The sequence below is a fragment of the Homo sapiens genome, chromosome 4 (assembly GCF_000001405.40).
Source record: "Homo sapiens chromosome 4, GRCh38.p14 Primary Assembly".
Lineage (NCBI taxonomy): Eukaryota > Metazoa > Chordata > Mammalia > Primates > Hominidae > Homo > Homo sapiens.
Window position 1 is genome coordinate 47,589,362 of NC_000004.12, and position 13,454 is coordinate 47,602,815.

Below are 13,454 nucleotides of genomic sequence, written 5' to 3' on the forward strand. Positions count from 1 at the left end.
AGAATAGGTTTCTGCTATAACAAATGCCTAAAACTGTGGAAGTGGCTTTGAAACTGGATAATGGGCAGAGGCAGGATGAATTTTGGCACATAATAGAAAAATTCTCCTAGACTTCCTTACACAGGCTCTTGGTAGAAATATGGACATTTAAGTTGTAACCAGTGATCTTGATAGCTACATTTACTTATTAGTTCCAATATTTTATTTTAGGTTTTCTACATATACAGTAATGCCATTAGCAAATAATGACCAGTGTGTTTCTTTCTTTCCAATACATAGGCACTTAATTTTTCTCATTGACCTGGCTAGGGAAGCTTGTCTTGTTTCTGATCCCAGAAGGAAAGGTTTCCATATTTCTCTGTTAATTATGATGTTTTATATAGAATTTTATGACTATACCATTAACCAGATTAAAGAAGTTCCATTCTATTCCTTATTTTCACATTTAAAACATATATAAATTTGTGTATCCATTGAGATAAGATTTTCTTTGTCACACTGTTAGTGTAGTAAATTACATTAATTGCTTTTATAATATGAAAACAATCTTGCATTCCTGAAAAATTAAGTTACTGTTGGTGAGGTTTCAGAAGAAAATGAAGAAGTCAGAGAAAGCCTGTATCATCAGATGCAGAGAATACATATATCATCATACACAGAAAGTTGCTAGAAATATGAATTTTCAAGTACACTGATGAGGACTCGGAAGAAAATGAGGAACATGCTTGGGAATTTGAGGGAAGTGGATCTTTCAAATACTGGCAGAAAAATTAGCTAAATTGTGTTCTACAGTAATATGGAAAGCAGAATTTGTAAGGAATGAACTTGGATATTTGGCAGAGGAGGTTTCTAAGCAAAGTGTCAAAGTTGTGTCCTGATTTACTGCTTATAGTAAAATGTGAGAGGAAAGAGACTGAAGGGAAAACTGCTAAGCCACAAGGAACTTGGTTTAGGAAATTCTCAGTCTATCCAGATTGCAAAAGTTGCTAAAATTAGGAGATTGACTGTTAGTAGTATGCTCTGGAGAGAAGTCTGAGAGCATAGCTGGACAACCTTTCTGCTAGTGCTGAAGAGATTAGTTATGTGATTCCTAGATCTCCTCAACCATTGCAGTAGTAACCAGGAAAAGAAATGAGGTTATACAGGAAAGATCTGTGGTGGCCCCTCCTATTTAGTGGCATAAATCCAAGTGACATACATAGGAGAGTCACAAGACTTTTGAGAATGTTATACCAGAAGAAACACTGCCAGCTTAGCCTACAAAGGGACACGTTTGTGGTACTTTGTTACAATAGCCATAGGAAACTGGTACAAATAGCATTTTTAACACCTACTATGTGTCAACACTCTGCCTGCTTTGTATGTATTGTCTCATTTAACCTAACATTAAGCCTATGTAGCAACTATTTATATCTCTACTTTTATAGATGCTATTTAGTTTTGCTTTTTAATAAACACTTATATGGCAATTACTATTTTCTAATTGCTTTACAAATATTAATTTATTTAATATTGTTTTATCTCCATTTTGTATTAGAGTTCGGTTACCCTCCCCCTTTATTTCAGGAGCCAAGTGGCCACCAGACCCTTTTACTTTTTTAATTCGTTAGTATTTGGGGGGGGGGGTTCTGTAATGCATTTGAGATGAATTTAATTCTAATGATGTTCCTTGTCACCTAGGTTTGTATACAGAGTTCTTCAGGGATCCCTGTTTCCATCTCCAATTCTGAGAGCTAAGCACTTTGACAGACTAACTCCAGAGGAGAGGACTAAAGCTCTCAAGAAGTGGAGAGGGGCTGGAAAGATGAATCAAGTGACATCAAAGTATGCTAACCAATCAGCTGGCAAGTCAGGAAGAAGACCCATGCCTGGCCCTTCTGCTGTATTTGCAATGAAGTCAGCAAGTTCCTGTGCTATTGAGCAAGGAAACTTATCTCTGTGTGAAACTGCTTTAGATCAAGGCTACTCTGAAACTAAGGCCTTTGAGATGGCTGGACCCTCCAAAGGTAAAGAAAGCTAGATACCCTCCTTGGAGTTGCAAGTATTCTTTCAAGGTTGGAAGAGGGATTTTGAAGAGGTATCTCTCCAAGCAAGAATGACTTGTTTTTCCATAAGGGACATGAGCATTTTACTAGGCTTGGAAGAGCTGACATGATGAGCATTATTGTATGTTTGTATATACATTTGTGATAGAGGGCTAGAGTTTGACCTAGAGAGAGTTTAAGGAAGTGAAATATTTAATTCAGAACCAAATGCTTTTGTAAAACTTTTTGGATTTTGTAAAAGCATTTTCATTCTCTTAGAAATTCAAGTATTTTCAAGGGGAGTCATTTGAGATATATTTATTTTACTAGGAGATCTTATATTCTAGGGAAATGCTTTAAATGGTCAGGCTCCAGTCGGAATTTTTTTAAGAAAAAAGTAGTTTTTAATACATTGGTTAGGACTCAGAGGAAATACGGAAAAAACATTGTAGATGGTTAATTTACAGATAAAATCCCAAGAGCCTTTTAAACAACAAGGTACCTAAAATAGGGTATAATTATACTGCTTAAAATACAGTTAGTGCCTATTAATAGCTTTTTATTTCCTATGGGAAGATGCTTTTGGTCTTCTGGCTGAAGATGTAGGCATACCTCTCACTCATTTCAATGTTTTCCTGAGGTGGAGCCTTCATTGGAAAGGGGAAAGAGGGATTCTAGGGTTTCATCAGGGACCAGGAATGCATTCCTCTGTCAGGTTCCAATCAAGAGAAGACCTTTTATGAGATCTGCCTCTGTATAGATGTTGTCAGTTAGGAAACTGAAGCCATAGGTCAGGCAGACATCAGCTCAGCCTGTGGCCCATTGGGTGATTTCCTGTATTTTAAAACTGACAGTAGCCTGATCAAAGTGATACAATCAATTTCAAAACAATCTTCCAGAGACCACTTGAAGGTTCATAGTTTTTACAATACCCTGAGACTTTTCAGGTGTTGGAGCCTCTAAAATATGAGATATAAACAGAAACTAATACAAGTTGTTCTCTGGAGGTTTCTATGAGGTTCTTAGAAAAATTTGGTTTTAAAATCATTTGAGGACAGGAATGTCTATAGCAAGTTTACTCCTATTGCGAATCATGTATGCTGGCTTTAGTTGTAACAAACGATTTTATTCTAAGTAAGGCCAGGTGCTACTATAAAATCATATATTCCTGTTGAAGTTCTTTTGAAGTCCTATCTCTATTTATTATATTTGAAAGTTGTCAGCCACCAGTCATCCAGAATTTCCTTCCTGAATCTCCATGCTCATATGCAATGTCTACATCAAGGTCTTCTTAATGACTATTATTCTCAGGGTTTAGTTTTCTACCTTCTGCCTACTATTTTGGTCTGACATTTTTGTAGCCTTCTGTTATTATTGGAAATAGTCTCTTACATAAGCTGATTTCGAGAACTTTCAAAATCTCACATAGCTAATGGAAGTTGCTTTCTGCTTTCTTATGACTGTTTTTATAAATAAACTGTTTCATAAATAATGTATACTGGAAAATTGTCATCACTCTTGTAAACATTTGCCAAATCCAACTGTAATTAGTACCAGAACTTAGAAGGAAAGTCACAAAGCATGCCTTTTACCAGAATATTGCTTTGCCTTTTCTTATATGGAAAATCACTGATGTCATATCATTTATTATCCTCACAGCAGCTGGCATTCATTCCCTGAAATCGTCGTCTCCTGATAAACAATAATTTAGAGATATGTTCACTTGTAAATAAAAAGGTTAGAATCTAAGGACAAAGAATGATCCAAAAATACTAAGGAAAAAGAACAATTTTCAATTTTCAGAAATGAATTATCTGTACATATGAATAGAGGAAAATACTGAGTGCTAATGTTACAGGGCCACAATCTCATATCCACAATTCCAAAATCTCCAAACCTCTGAAAACTGAAATATTTTTCATAAATTAGGCGTAAATTCTATGCCCTGAACAAATGTAAAGCTATTTATGTACTTTGCTTAATGTAATCATTCATATACTTTGCTACAAAAATATTAATATATTTCATTACTGAATGCTAAACTGTATTTCTTTTTAAAATTTGGAAAATTTTTAATTCTGAAACACAATCTAGACCTTAGGCTAAAGAGGTTGGGATCTGTATGAAGCCTTTAAAGGGTCACATTTACAAGTCAATAACTCTTTTACATAAAGTTACCCAAGTTGATGTGATCTGGTGTTCAGTGTATTTCACCAAATTTGGGGGGGACCAAGTATTATATCATTGCTCTCAGTAGATAAGAACATTGATTAATATATACATTTTGGGATATAATCTTATTACAAAAGATGTATAAAATAATTGTATTGGGTTCCCAAAATGTACTCTGGATGTTAAAGATCTGTGTGCCCTTACGAGGACTAAAGTTCTCACTGGACACTTAATGGGCAATTTGAGACTATTAGCAACCTCTAATTTCAGACCAGTCAAGGAGCCATTGATCCTCTAAAATAAAAGAGCATGTATCTGTGAGAGTGAGATATAAGGGAGGTGAATTGTGATTGGTAAGCAGGGTGCCAGCATGCTGTTATAGAGACAGAAACAATTTCTTAGGACTTGCCACCCATATCCATCCAAAAAAAAAAAAAAGGTGATTAGACCATTACCATTTTATTTGTATTAAGAATTATTTAAAATAAGTATAATATATATATTTCACTGAGCCTAAGTTGAGCAGGCTAAAAGTTGATACATTGAGTATGTAGCTACAACTGTAACAAAACTGACATATGTTCTTGAACTTTCATACAATCGTGACCACAATTCAGTTGCTGGATTTCACACTCTCCTTAGGTTTATACAAACTGAAGGACAGGAGATGAATAGTATAGAAATTGCTACAACTTTTTGAATTTCAACTATGTTTACACACAGAAAAGATACAAAAATACATGTATAAAATTGCAGGTAGTATCTATTTGGAATGCTGAGGCAGTCCAGGTTGCTGGTGGAGGTTAGTAGGGAATCCTAGTTGTTTAAAAGGCAAAATGGATGCCTGACTAATTAAATTAAGTATATATGAAGATTTGTGTTTTAAAGTTTTTTAGTGGGGAAAAATACTTTTTACCACTAATTGCTTCAGAAATTGAGTTGCGTAAAGTGGCCTAGAGCTAAAAATCATTTCTAAAATTTTAATTACCAATGAGAAGAAACCAGATATTAAACATCTTTTGAGGAAAATTACAAAATGTTTTACTCCATGCAAAGTCTTACTGTGCTCTAAAATATGCTCTTTATGACTTTGTTGGTATGGATGAACGCAAGAAAACTGAAAAATAAATTTAATTAAACGAGGGATGCAAATTAATTTTCTTTTTAAAAAATTGCATCTCTCATCTAAATTCTCTTTTGCAAAGTTTAATATCCAGTTCTTTGCCACATAAGTAAAACAAAATATTGCCCATAAATATAGATGTAGTTGTTGCAGTCTCAATCAGCCAACTCATATATCCTGAACAAACCCAGCTATGAGGACAGTTCTATAGAGACTCTTCTATAAAATTATGATCTTGATATACATCCAGAATGGGGGGTCCAATAATGTCAAGTGTTAATATTGATATCTAAAGAACTTTGCATTCAATATGTCTTGCTACCTAAATGGATGACACTGGTCTTTTATTGCTGTCTTTTATCAGTTCTCAGAATTATGCAAACATTAGAAGGGGGTAATAGTAAATACTTTAAACATGTAAATTATCTTGGCTTTTAATAAATCAAATGACGAGTTACTGGGTTCAGCACACCAACATGGCACATGTATACATATGTAACTAACCTGCACGTTGTGCTCGTGTACCCTAAAATTCGAAGTGTAATAAAAAAGAATTGTGGGGTATAAAAAAAGAAAAAGAAAAGCAAGTCTCCAATGTTAACACTGAAATTTACCACTATGCACTGAGCTTGAGAAACAAAAACTGGTAGAGATAATTAATCAGCCTAAATATCTATGTCTTTTTTTGTGATAGGATAAAAGAGACCATTCCATAACCTGTTACTGTAGCACCTGATTTTAAATCTCGCCAGAGTCGATAATTTTGTGCTGCAGTCATGGTTAGGCCTGGCAAAAGGACAAAGTCTGCTTTGTTTGCTTTTGTAAAGTCTTTCATTGAACTTGAAATAAGAGAAAAATGAAGGTGAAAAAATAAATTGAAAAAAATTAGTCCAAAACAAACATGCAAATTTGCAGTGCACGATTGAGCATTTCTGTCCATGAAAAGTGCTTCTGTACAGCTCTCTGCAGGCAGCTCTTCACAGTCAAGAAGGCCATTTTCTTTTAGTGTAGCTGGCAAAAGTCTCTGATCATCCTTATAATTAGTTTAGGAGAAAGGTCTGGATGTAAATCTGTCTTTTAATCCATTCGACGAAATATGACACATTACTATAAACGCCAGGCCCCAGGACTTTGGAAAAGCAGACGGAGCCCCATGAAGTTAATCCAAATAATGTCCACCGTCCTCCAGGCTTCTCACAAACAAGAGGCCCACCGCTGTCACCCTGCAATAAGTAACGATGGGAGTTAGGAACTGGCATTTCAGGGCAGTAATGTGTGTCCATGCTATCCTGAGGATACTATAAAGCTAAACCCAGATTAACCAACTTGGAAAGTTTCAACAAAGCTTTCCTTGTCAGCCTGTGGAGGAGTTGTGCTTTCCACTGTAAAAACAGAACTTTCAAATAAACATCTTAAACTCTGATCATTAAAAGGGTGGAGTGGCTTGGGAAGAAATTATATTTTTCCCCCAGGAAATTACCTTTTTCAGGCATTTTCTGCACTTATAAAAATATGTCATAAAGTTTTTAAAAAGTATCAGAACTAATTACCTCAAAATTGACCTCATTCTAATTTAAGCTTGACTTATGACTGTGGAAAGTACCCAAAATGGAATAAAGATCCCCCCCACACACAGTACTGCAAACATATTCTAAAATATCTATTTTCAAGATTCTTGCTTTGTGAATGAATACATTAAGCATAACACAATTTGGGGTCCCTTACTACACTTCTTAATAGTTCTTAGGACTTTTTAATTTGGCATAGTTGAATACAAAATAAGACCACTTAAAATTATAATGAATCATTAATAGCCTGTATTTTATTTCATATATATAGGGATTTTCATTCATGATATTTAAGGATTCCAGTTGAACTATATTCAGTTTTTCCCCCAAATATAGTTAATGATAAAATGCTATGGCATTAGAGATAGCAATACTTGCTACATCTGAAAACAAAGGTGTATTCTGCACTGCCTCAAAAAAGAAGAGCTGATATCATGGAAAATAAAAGAGTAAATACGTGAATTCATTGTGGAAGGTTACAAATACTCCTTGACCTACAAGACTTTCAAAATTAGAAGCATATCTATGGTCTTCCTACTTGGTATTGTTGAAGAACATAGGACTAATGTTTCCTGATCCTCTTCTAAACATTTTCCACATATTAGCTCATTTAATCTTTACAAAATACCTAAGAGTTTATATTATTTATTATATCTGTTTTGGAGATGATGAAACAGAAGCACAGGTTAAATAACTTATTCATTGGCAGAGGCTAGATTTGAATCCAGGCAGTCTGGTAACAGGATTCCAACTCTATAACTACTAGGCTACCCTGCTTCTTAGGAATATTAGGGAATATTATTGCTATGAAAGAGAAATTAGGCCCGGCGTGCTAGCTCACACCTGTAATCCCAGCACTTTGGGAGGCCGAGGCAGGCAGATGACTTGAGGTCAGGAGTTCCAGACCAACTTGATCAACATGGTGAAACCCTGTCTCTACTCAAAATACAAAAATTAGCCAGGTGTGGTTGTGGAAACCTGTAATCCCAGCTACGCTGGAGGCTGAGGCAGGAGAATCCCTTGAACCCAGGAGTTGGAGGTTGCAGTGAGCTGAGATCACACCACTGCACTCCAGCCTGGGAGACAGAGTGAAACTCCATCTCAAAAAAAAAAAAAAAAGAAGAAGAAAGAGATTAAAATTTTGATTGTGCTGTATGCTTTTGTGTAAGTGATGATCTTTAAATTTGTAACTTTCCAATACCCTAAGCCAAAATCATAAGCATAGAACTTGCAAGGAGCTGAATTTTTCTGCCTAAGAGCCTAATTGAATTTTTTTAAAGCAAAATTTCTTTGTTACATGTATATAATGCTTAGACGAAAAAGAAAAATTTCCTGGAAACATTTCACAAATTATTTTCACAAATTTGTTTTCACACATTTCATATGCATAGGGTATTTCATTCTTGATCTCTCCTTATATAAAATAAATAAGATGCTCAGCTATTGAAGTGGAACTATTATGTCAGAGGGTGATTAAAATGGAATGTGTTTAGAATGTCAGCACATTTTCACTTCCAGATCAGACATTTAGTAAAATAATTATTTAGCATCTACTCTTTGCAAAGTTCTGTGCTAGTGTATAAACAAACGAATAAGGCACTGTTTTTGTCCCAGAACAGCCAAAAGTCAGCTTGGGTAACAAGGATAACCACATGAAAGCAAAATCTAATGGCTAGAAAGAGGAGGTCAAAGGAATGAGTGATGACTTCCAGGTGGAGAGGAATAAAAAATGCCTTCCTGAGATGTGGGTTTTGAGTTAGGCTTAGTGAGTCAGGTAGGCACCCCATTAAGTGCAAAATGAAAGGTGAAAAGCAAGCAATTAAAAATGAAAGGGAGACTACAGCTAAAGGCACAACTGATCTGGTCTGTTCTTTTGGTCCTCTTTGTAATATTGGGCTTGAAACCAACATTTATATTTGGCTTCAGTATTCAGTATTCAGGTTTATAGATTGTCACGGAGTAACTCACGCTTCATTATGTCCTGTTGATACAATTAAGGAAAATAATATCTGTCATATAATAGAGGTCTAAGTAGAAAAATTTGCTCCTGATATAGTAAAAAGTAGGTTTTGTTTGGTTTTCTACCTGAAGTTGTGTTAGAGAATATCTGGTATGCATTTAGTATACCCAGTACTAAATGAACTTCCACTGAACTCAGTATACACCACTGAACTCCCACTACTAAAGAAGTCGGCAAGACCTGGTTCCTATTAGGCATCATGATAAGAACATGCCCATGCCTGTGTCTGTGGGCCTTCAGCTCTCTGTCAAGGAATCATCTCCCTTCCCCTCCTTTAGCAACTGCCAAGAGATGATCTTGAACATGTGCCAAGAGGTGCTAGTTTTTGGTAAACCTCCAAATGACATTGGAGAGAGGAAGAAATGTAGTTATATTAATCATTGCTGCCAGACTGACTGGTTTCATGTCCTCAGTCTACCACCTTCATGCTGGCTGATTTGGGGCAAATTACTTAACCTCCTGTATTCTTGATCTGTTTAGGGAAAATAAAGACACTGCCATATGGGTTGATTGTGATAATTAAATGAGTTATTAGAAAGCGTTTTGCAGAGAGCCCGAAACATAATAAGCACTAAATTGATAGCTGTTAATATTGGTGTAATTACTATTCATTGAATGTCTAAGTATGTGCCAGATATCATATACAGATATGTGAAAGATATGGGCTTCCAAATACATTCACTTAGTTAATCCTCATGGACAGAATTAGTCCCATTTTACTCATGAGAAAGCTATCTAGAGAGGTTAGATAACTTCCCCGGGTTATACTGGTCTCACTGGCAGAGATGAATTCCAACCCAGATATTTCAGGCTTCAAATCCTGTGCCCCACACCCACATCATGCTGCCTCCTACAACACTTTATTTTGGGCCTGGGAAATCAAACCCAGTCCTCCTGTAGAGAAGGGAGGGATTCCTTTACCACCATCCACGTCAGCAGGATGACTTGTGGCCATGAAGCAGAAAGGAGGGTGGTCTCAGCGAAATGCCAAGGGAGCTGTCTGCCTCCCTCTTTCCCATGACAACTATCTAAGGAATCACCACAGGGCCATTTTCAATACCCTGATTTTTCCATTCTAAAATGGATCATCAAAAATATAGTTTATTTAAATTGAGTTAGTACTTAAGAGCACTGTTGTATCTTTTCTTCATTACTAAACTGTAGGGAGCAATTTACTCCCAATTAAAGGTGCTTCACAGCAGCATAGTATAATAACTGTCTTCCCCAGTTTTTGTTACAAGCTTATTTGAGCACTTGCACTTTTCCCTCCTTTCCTGGGAGCCAGTCCAGTATAATGTTCGATGTGTGTCTATTAAGTAAAAATAAAAAGGCACCTCTACACTATTATGTTAATATGTTCTGCAAACTCTCATGGCCATGAATCCTGAGTATCTAAAGGTTGAGTTCAGTGACATTTGAGGACATGCTGGCAATCAAGTGAGGGCCCAGACAACACCAGTGTGATGACCCCTGAGACAGAGGTAGTCCTGTCTCACACCCTGGAAGTTGGGGTGTTGATGTGTGGCTTCCTGCCATCACCCTAATGGCTGACAATGTCCTTTCATGCCTTCCCTGCTTCCCCAGGGCAGCCAGGTGGAAGCCATGGTTACTACTAGCTCCTCTTAGAACCTCATTTATCCTAGCCACTAAAATGGTTGAATGAGATGAACAGGAAAAATTGTTTTTCTCCTGTTGCTGAACAAGGGTGATGTTCCCCATATAGTAGATGAGACAGTAGAAGGCACCCTGAATAAAGAGGATGGGTGTAATTGTGGGGATTGCTTGTGTACCAGCTGCAGGAAAATGTGCTGTTAATAATTAAACATTTGGCAACAAATGATTTTCAAAAAATGTTTCCAAAGGGCCATACGTAATAATGAGTTTATAGGAATCCACTGAAGTTATTGTTGAACTGAATCTCCTTGGTAACCAGAAAGCAACTTACCATGCATGAATCAACTGTGCCAGACTCATAGCCAGCACATATCATCCGAGTGGTGATGGTCTTCATGTCAAAGTAGGACTGACAATGTTCCAGAGAAATAATGCGGACCTCTCCCTCTTGCAGCTTAAATGGCACTGAATTTTTAAAAAATAAGAATATATATATGATGATAAAATGACTCAAAAGTGAGGCTAGTGAGGCTAGCCAAATATGAAATGCAAATATAATATAAATATTTTTATACCAAGAGAGGCATATTCTTTACTTGAAATGCCATTTTAAAGACATGGCTGGTTTGGAATCAGAATTTTCTAGTTAGAAGCATTCATAGCAATTATCCGGTGAAACTCCTTTATTTTATTAATGGGTAAACCAAGGCCTAGACTGGTTAAGTAAGTTGGTTCATCCTTACCATATGCTACAACCAAAACAATAGCTACTACAAAGAAAAGAAAAAAATCAAGCCAGAGCTCTGCTGGCTGCCAGATAGGAGGCTGCCAGCTCGGCGTCAACTCAGCATGATAGTCCTGCTCTGCTAAAGTAGAGAAAACCTGTTTAATCTAACAGGGAAGGGTTGTCCTATTCTTGATGAAAAGAATATGCCTCAATATGTGCCCCAGCAGCCATTACTTGATGTAAGAACCTCTAATCCTAGAGGATATGACAGAGAGATATCGAAAAGCACAAAGCCATCCCTTGGTATTGACAGAGAGAATATGTGAATTCCATCTTGCTTAAAAGTTCTTGAAGAATGACAATGGATTTCTTGAAGCAAGACAGCATGAATCTTTCACTGTTTAGCCATTCTGCAAAATTATACACACTGTTCTTCTTTTAAACAGTGATGGTGAAGCACTACTGGGTACCTTATTGGAAGAAAGAGCCATTTTTAGGAAAATCAATGTGATGCAGACAGTGGATGTTTCACAGGTTGTCAAAAGAATAAGAACAATAGCTAACATTTATTGGGCACTAGTGGGTCTCATTGCCTTTAATCTTTACAATACTCCTGTGAGTTAGGTAGTTGCTATTTTTTTCCATTTTATAGTAAGCTTGAAAGTTATACAGTCAGATCAGTCAGGTCTTTCTGACTGAATTCAGCAGATCTTTTTTTTTTTTTTGAGACAGGGTCTCATTCTGTCACCCAGGCAGTGGTCACTTGCTTACTGCAGCCTCCACCTTGGCTCAAGAAATCCTTGGCTCACTGCAGCCTCCACCTTCAAGGCTCAAGAAATCCTCCCACCTCAGCCTCCCAAGTAGCTGGGACTACAGGCACACACCCCCATGCCAAGCTAATTTTTTTTTTGTAGAGACAGAGTTCCACCATGTTGCCCAGGCTGGTCTTGAACTCCTGGGCTCAATTCATGCTATACTACATGTGTGGAGTGTGCGTTATGTTGCACTATTGCTCTGAGTTCAATATGGATATTGTAGGAGGAATATAAGCAGAAACAATATCAAGCATAGTCTGCTCTTAAATTACAGAATTAATCATAGCTTTGAAAAAAAACAGATGCATAGGAGTGGTGACAGCATGTCTAACATTGCCTTCAAAATTGTTACATGTGAGTTTTTTTGAAAAAGTCATTGACTTCTGCCTATTGAATTTCCTTTCTGTTCTGTAATTGATGAAATAGAAAAGAAACTCAATGTAAGTCAAACCTTATCTGACTAAATTTTAAGAAAAAATTCCTTCAAATATACAATTTCTAAGGCCAATAACAGAATGCCAATATACATTATTATTCTTGAAAGCCATGGCATTATACTTGATATGGACAGAGTAGGCAGCACTTACAGTTTTTTTTTTTTAAGTTTCAGGTGGGTGGATCACCTGAGGTCAGGAGTTTGAAACTAGCTTGGCCAACATGGTGAAACCCCGTCTCACTAAAAATACAAAAAACAAAATTAGCCAGGCGTCATGGCACATGTCTGTAATCCCAGCTACTCGGGAGGCTGAGGCAGGAGAATCACTTGAACCTGGGAGGTGGAGGTTGCAGTGAGCCGAGATTGTGCCACTGCATTCCAGCCTGGGTGACAGAGTGAGACTCCGTCTCAAAAACAAACAAATAAACAAACAAACAATTATTATTTCTAAAGTAGGTCAAACTGAATGAGAGAGTCCATTATAGGGGTTTAGAGTAAATACAGAGTACACATTTTAAATTTCTATGTGTTTTATATGTTAAGTCATCTACAGAGCCAAACTATTTTAATCAATTTAAATAGTCAAATAGCAAATCAATATACTTTCTTGAAGGATTTATAGTTTGTACTACAGATGTTGATAAGACCAAATCACAACATAGAATTGGAAATATGACCATGCAGCTTGACTGCAGAGATTCCCAGTGACTGTCTCTATCATTGGGCTATCTGCAGGCAGATAGAGAGAGTCCAAAGCACAGTTCAGTGACAGGTCTCCTCCTGCCACAAGGAAGCTCCAAAACATTAATAGTAAGCTCCCAGAGAGAGATTCTGAAGTGTGGAGAGGGATTTTTGAGATTGCATCTGAGCTTGGCCATTTTAAATGCCATGGTTCATTATTAATGTCTATGATTTGCACAGCAGATGAAGTGTGACACATCGCTAAGTATTTACC

The 13,454-nt window shown here is 36.7% G+C and overlaps 2 protein-coding genes across 3 annotated transcripts in view; one reads left to right on the plus strand and one right to left on the minus strand.

Annotated features, from left to right (window-relative positions):
- The window catches only part of ATP10D (ATPase phospholipid transporting 10D (putative)), a 108,212-nt gene extending 104,087 nt beyond the window's left edge, over positions 1 to 4,125 (plus strand). The window contains exon 23 of the mRNA NM_020453.4: positions 1,681 to 4,125. Coding sequence (NP_065186.3) covers positions 1,681 to 2,020 — 340 coding nt within the window. The 3' untranslated portion in view covers positions 2,021 to 4,125. The remainder of the gene's footprint in view (positions 1 to 1,680) is intronic.
- The window catches only part of CORIN (corin, serine peptidase), a 244,067-nt gene continuing 235,252 nt past the window's right edge, over positions 4,640 to 13,454 (minus strand). For both annotated transcript variants that reach the window (NM_001278585.2, NM_006587.4), the window contains 2 exons: positions 10,853 to 10,986; positions 4,640 to 6,542 (listed from right to left, as the gene is read on the minus strand). In NM_001278585.2, coding sequence (NP_001265514.1) covers positions 6,360 to 6,542; positions 10,853 to 10,986 — 317 coding nt within the window. In that variant the 3' untranslated portion in view covers positions 4,640 to 6,359. The remainder of the gene's footprint in view (positions 6,543 to 10,852; positions 10,987 to 13,454) is intronic.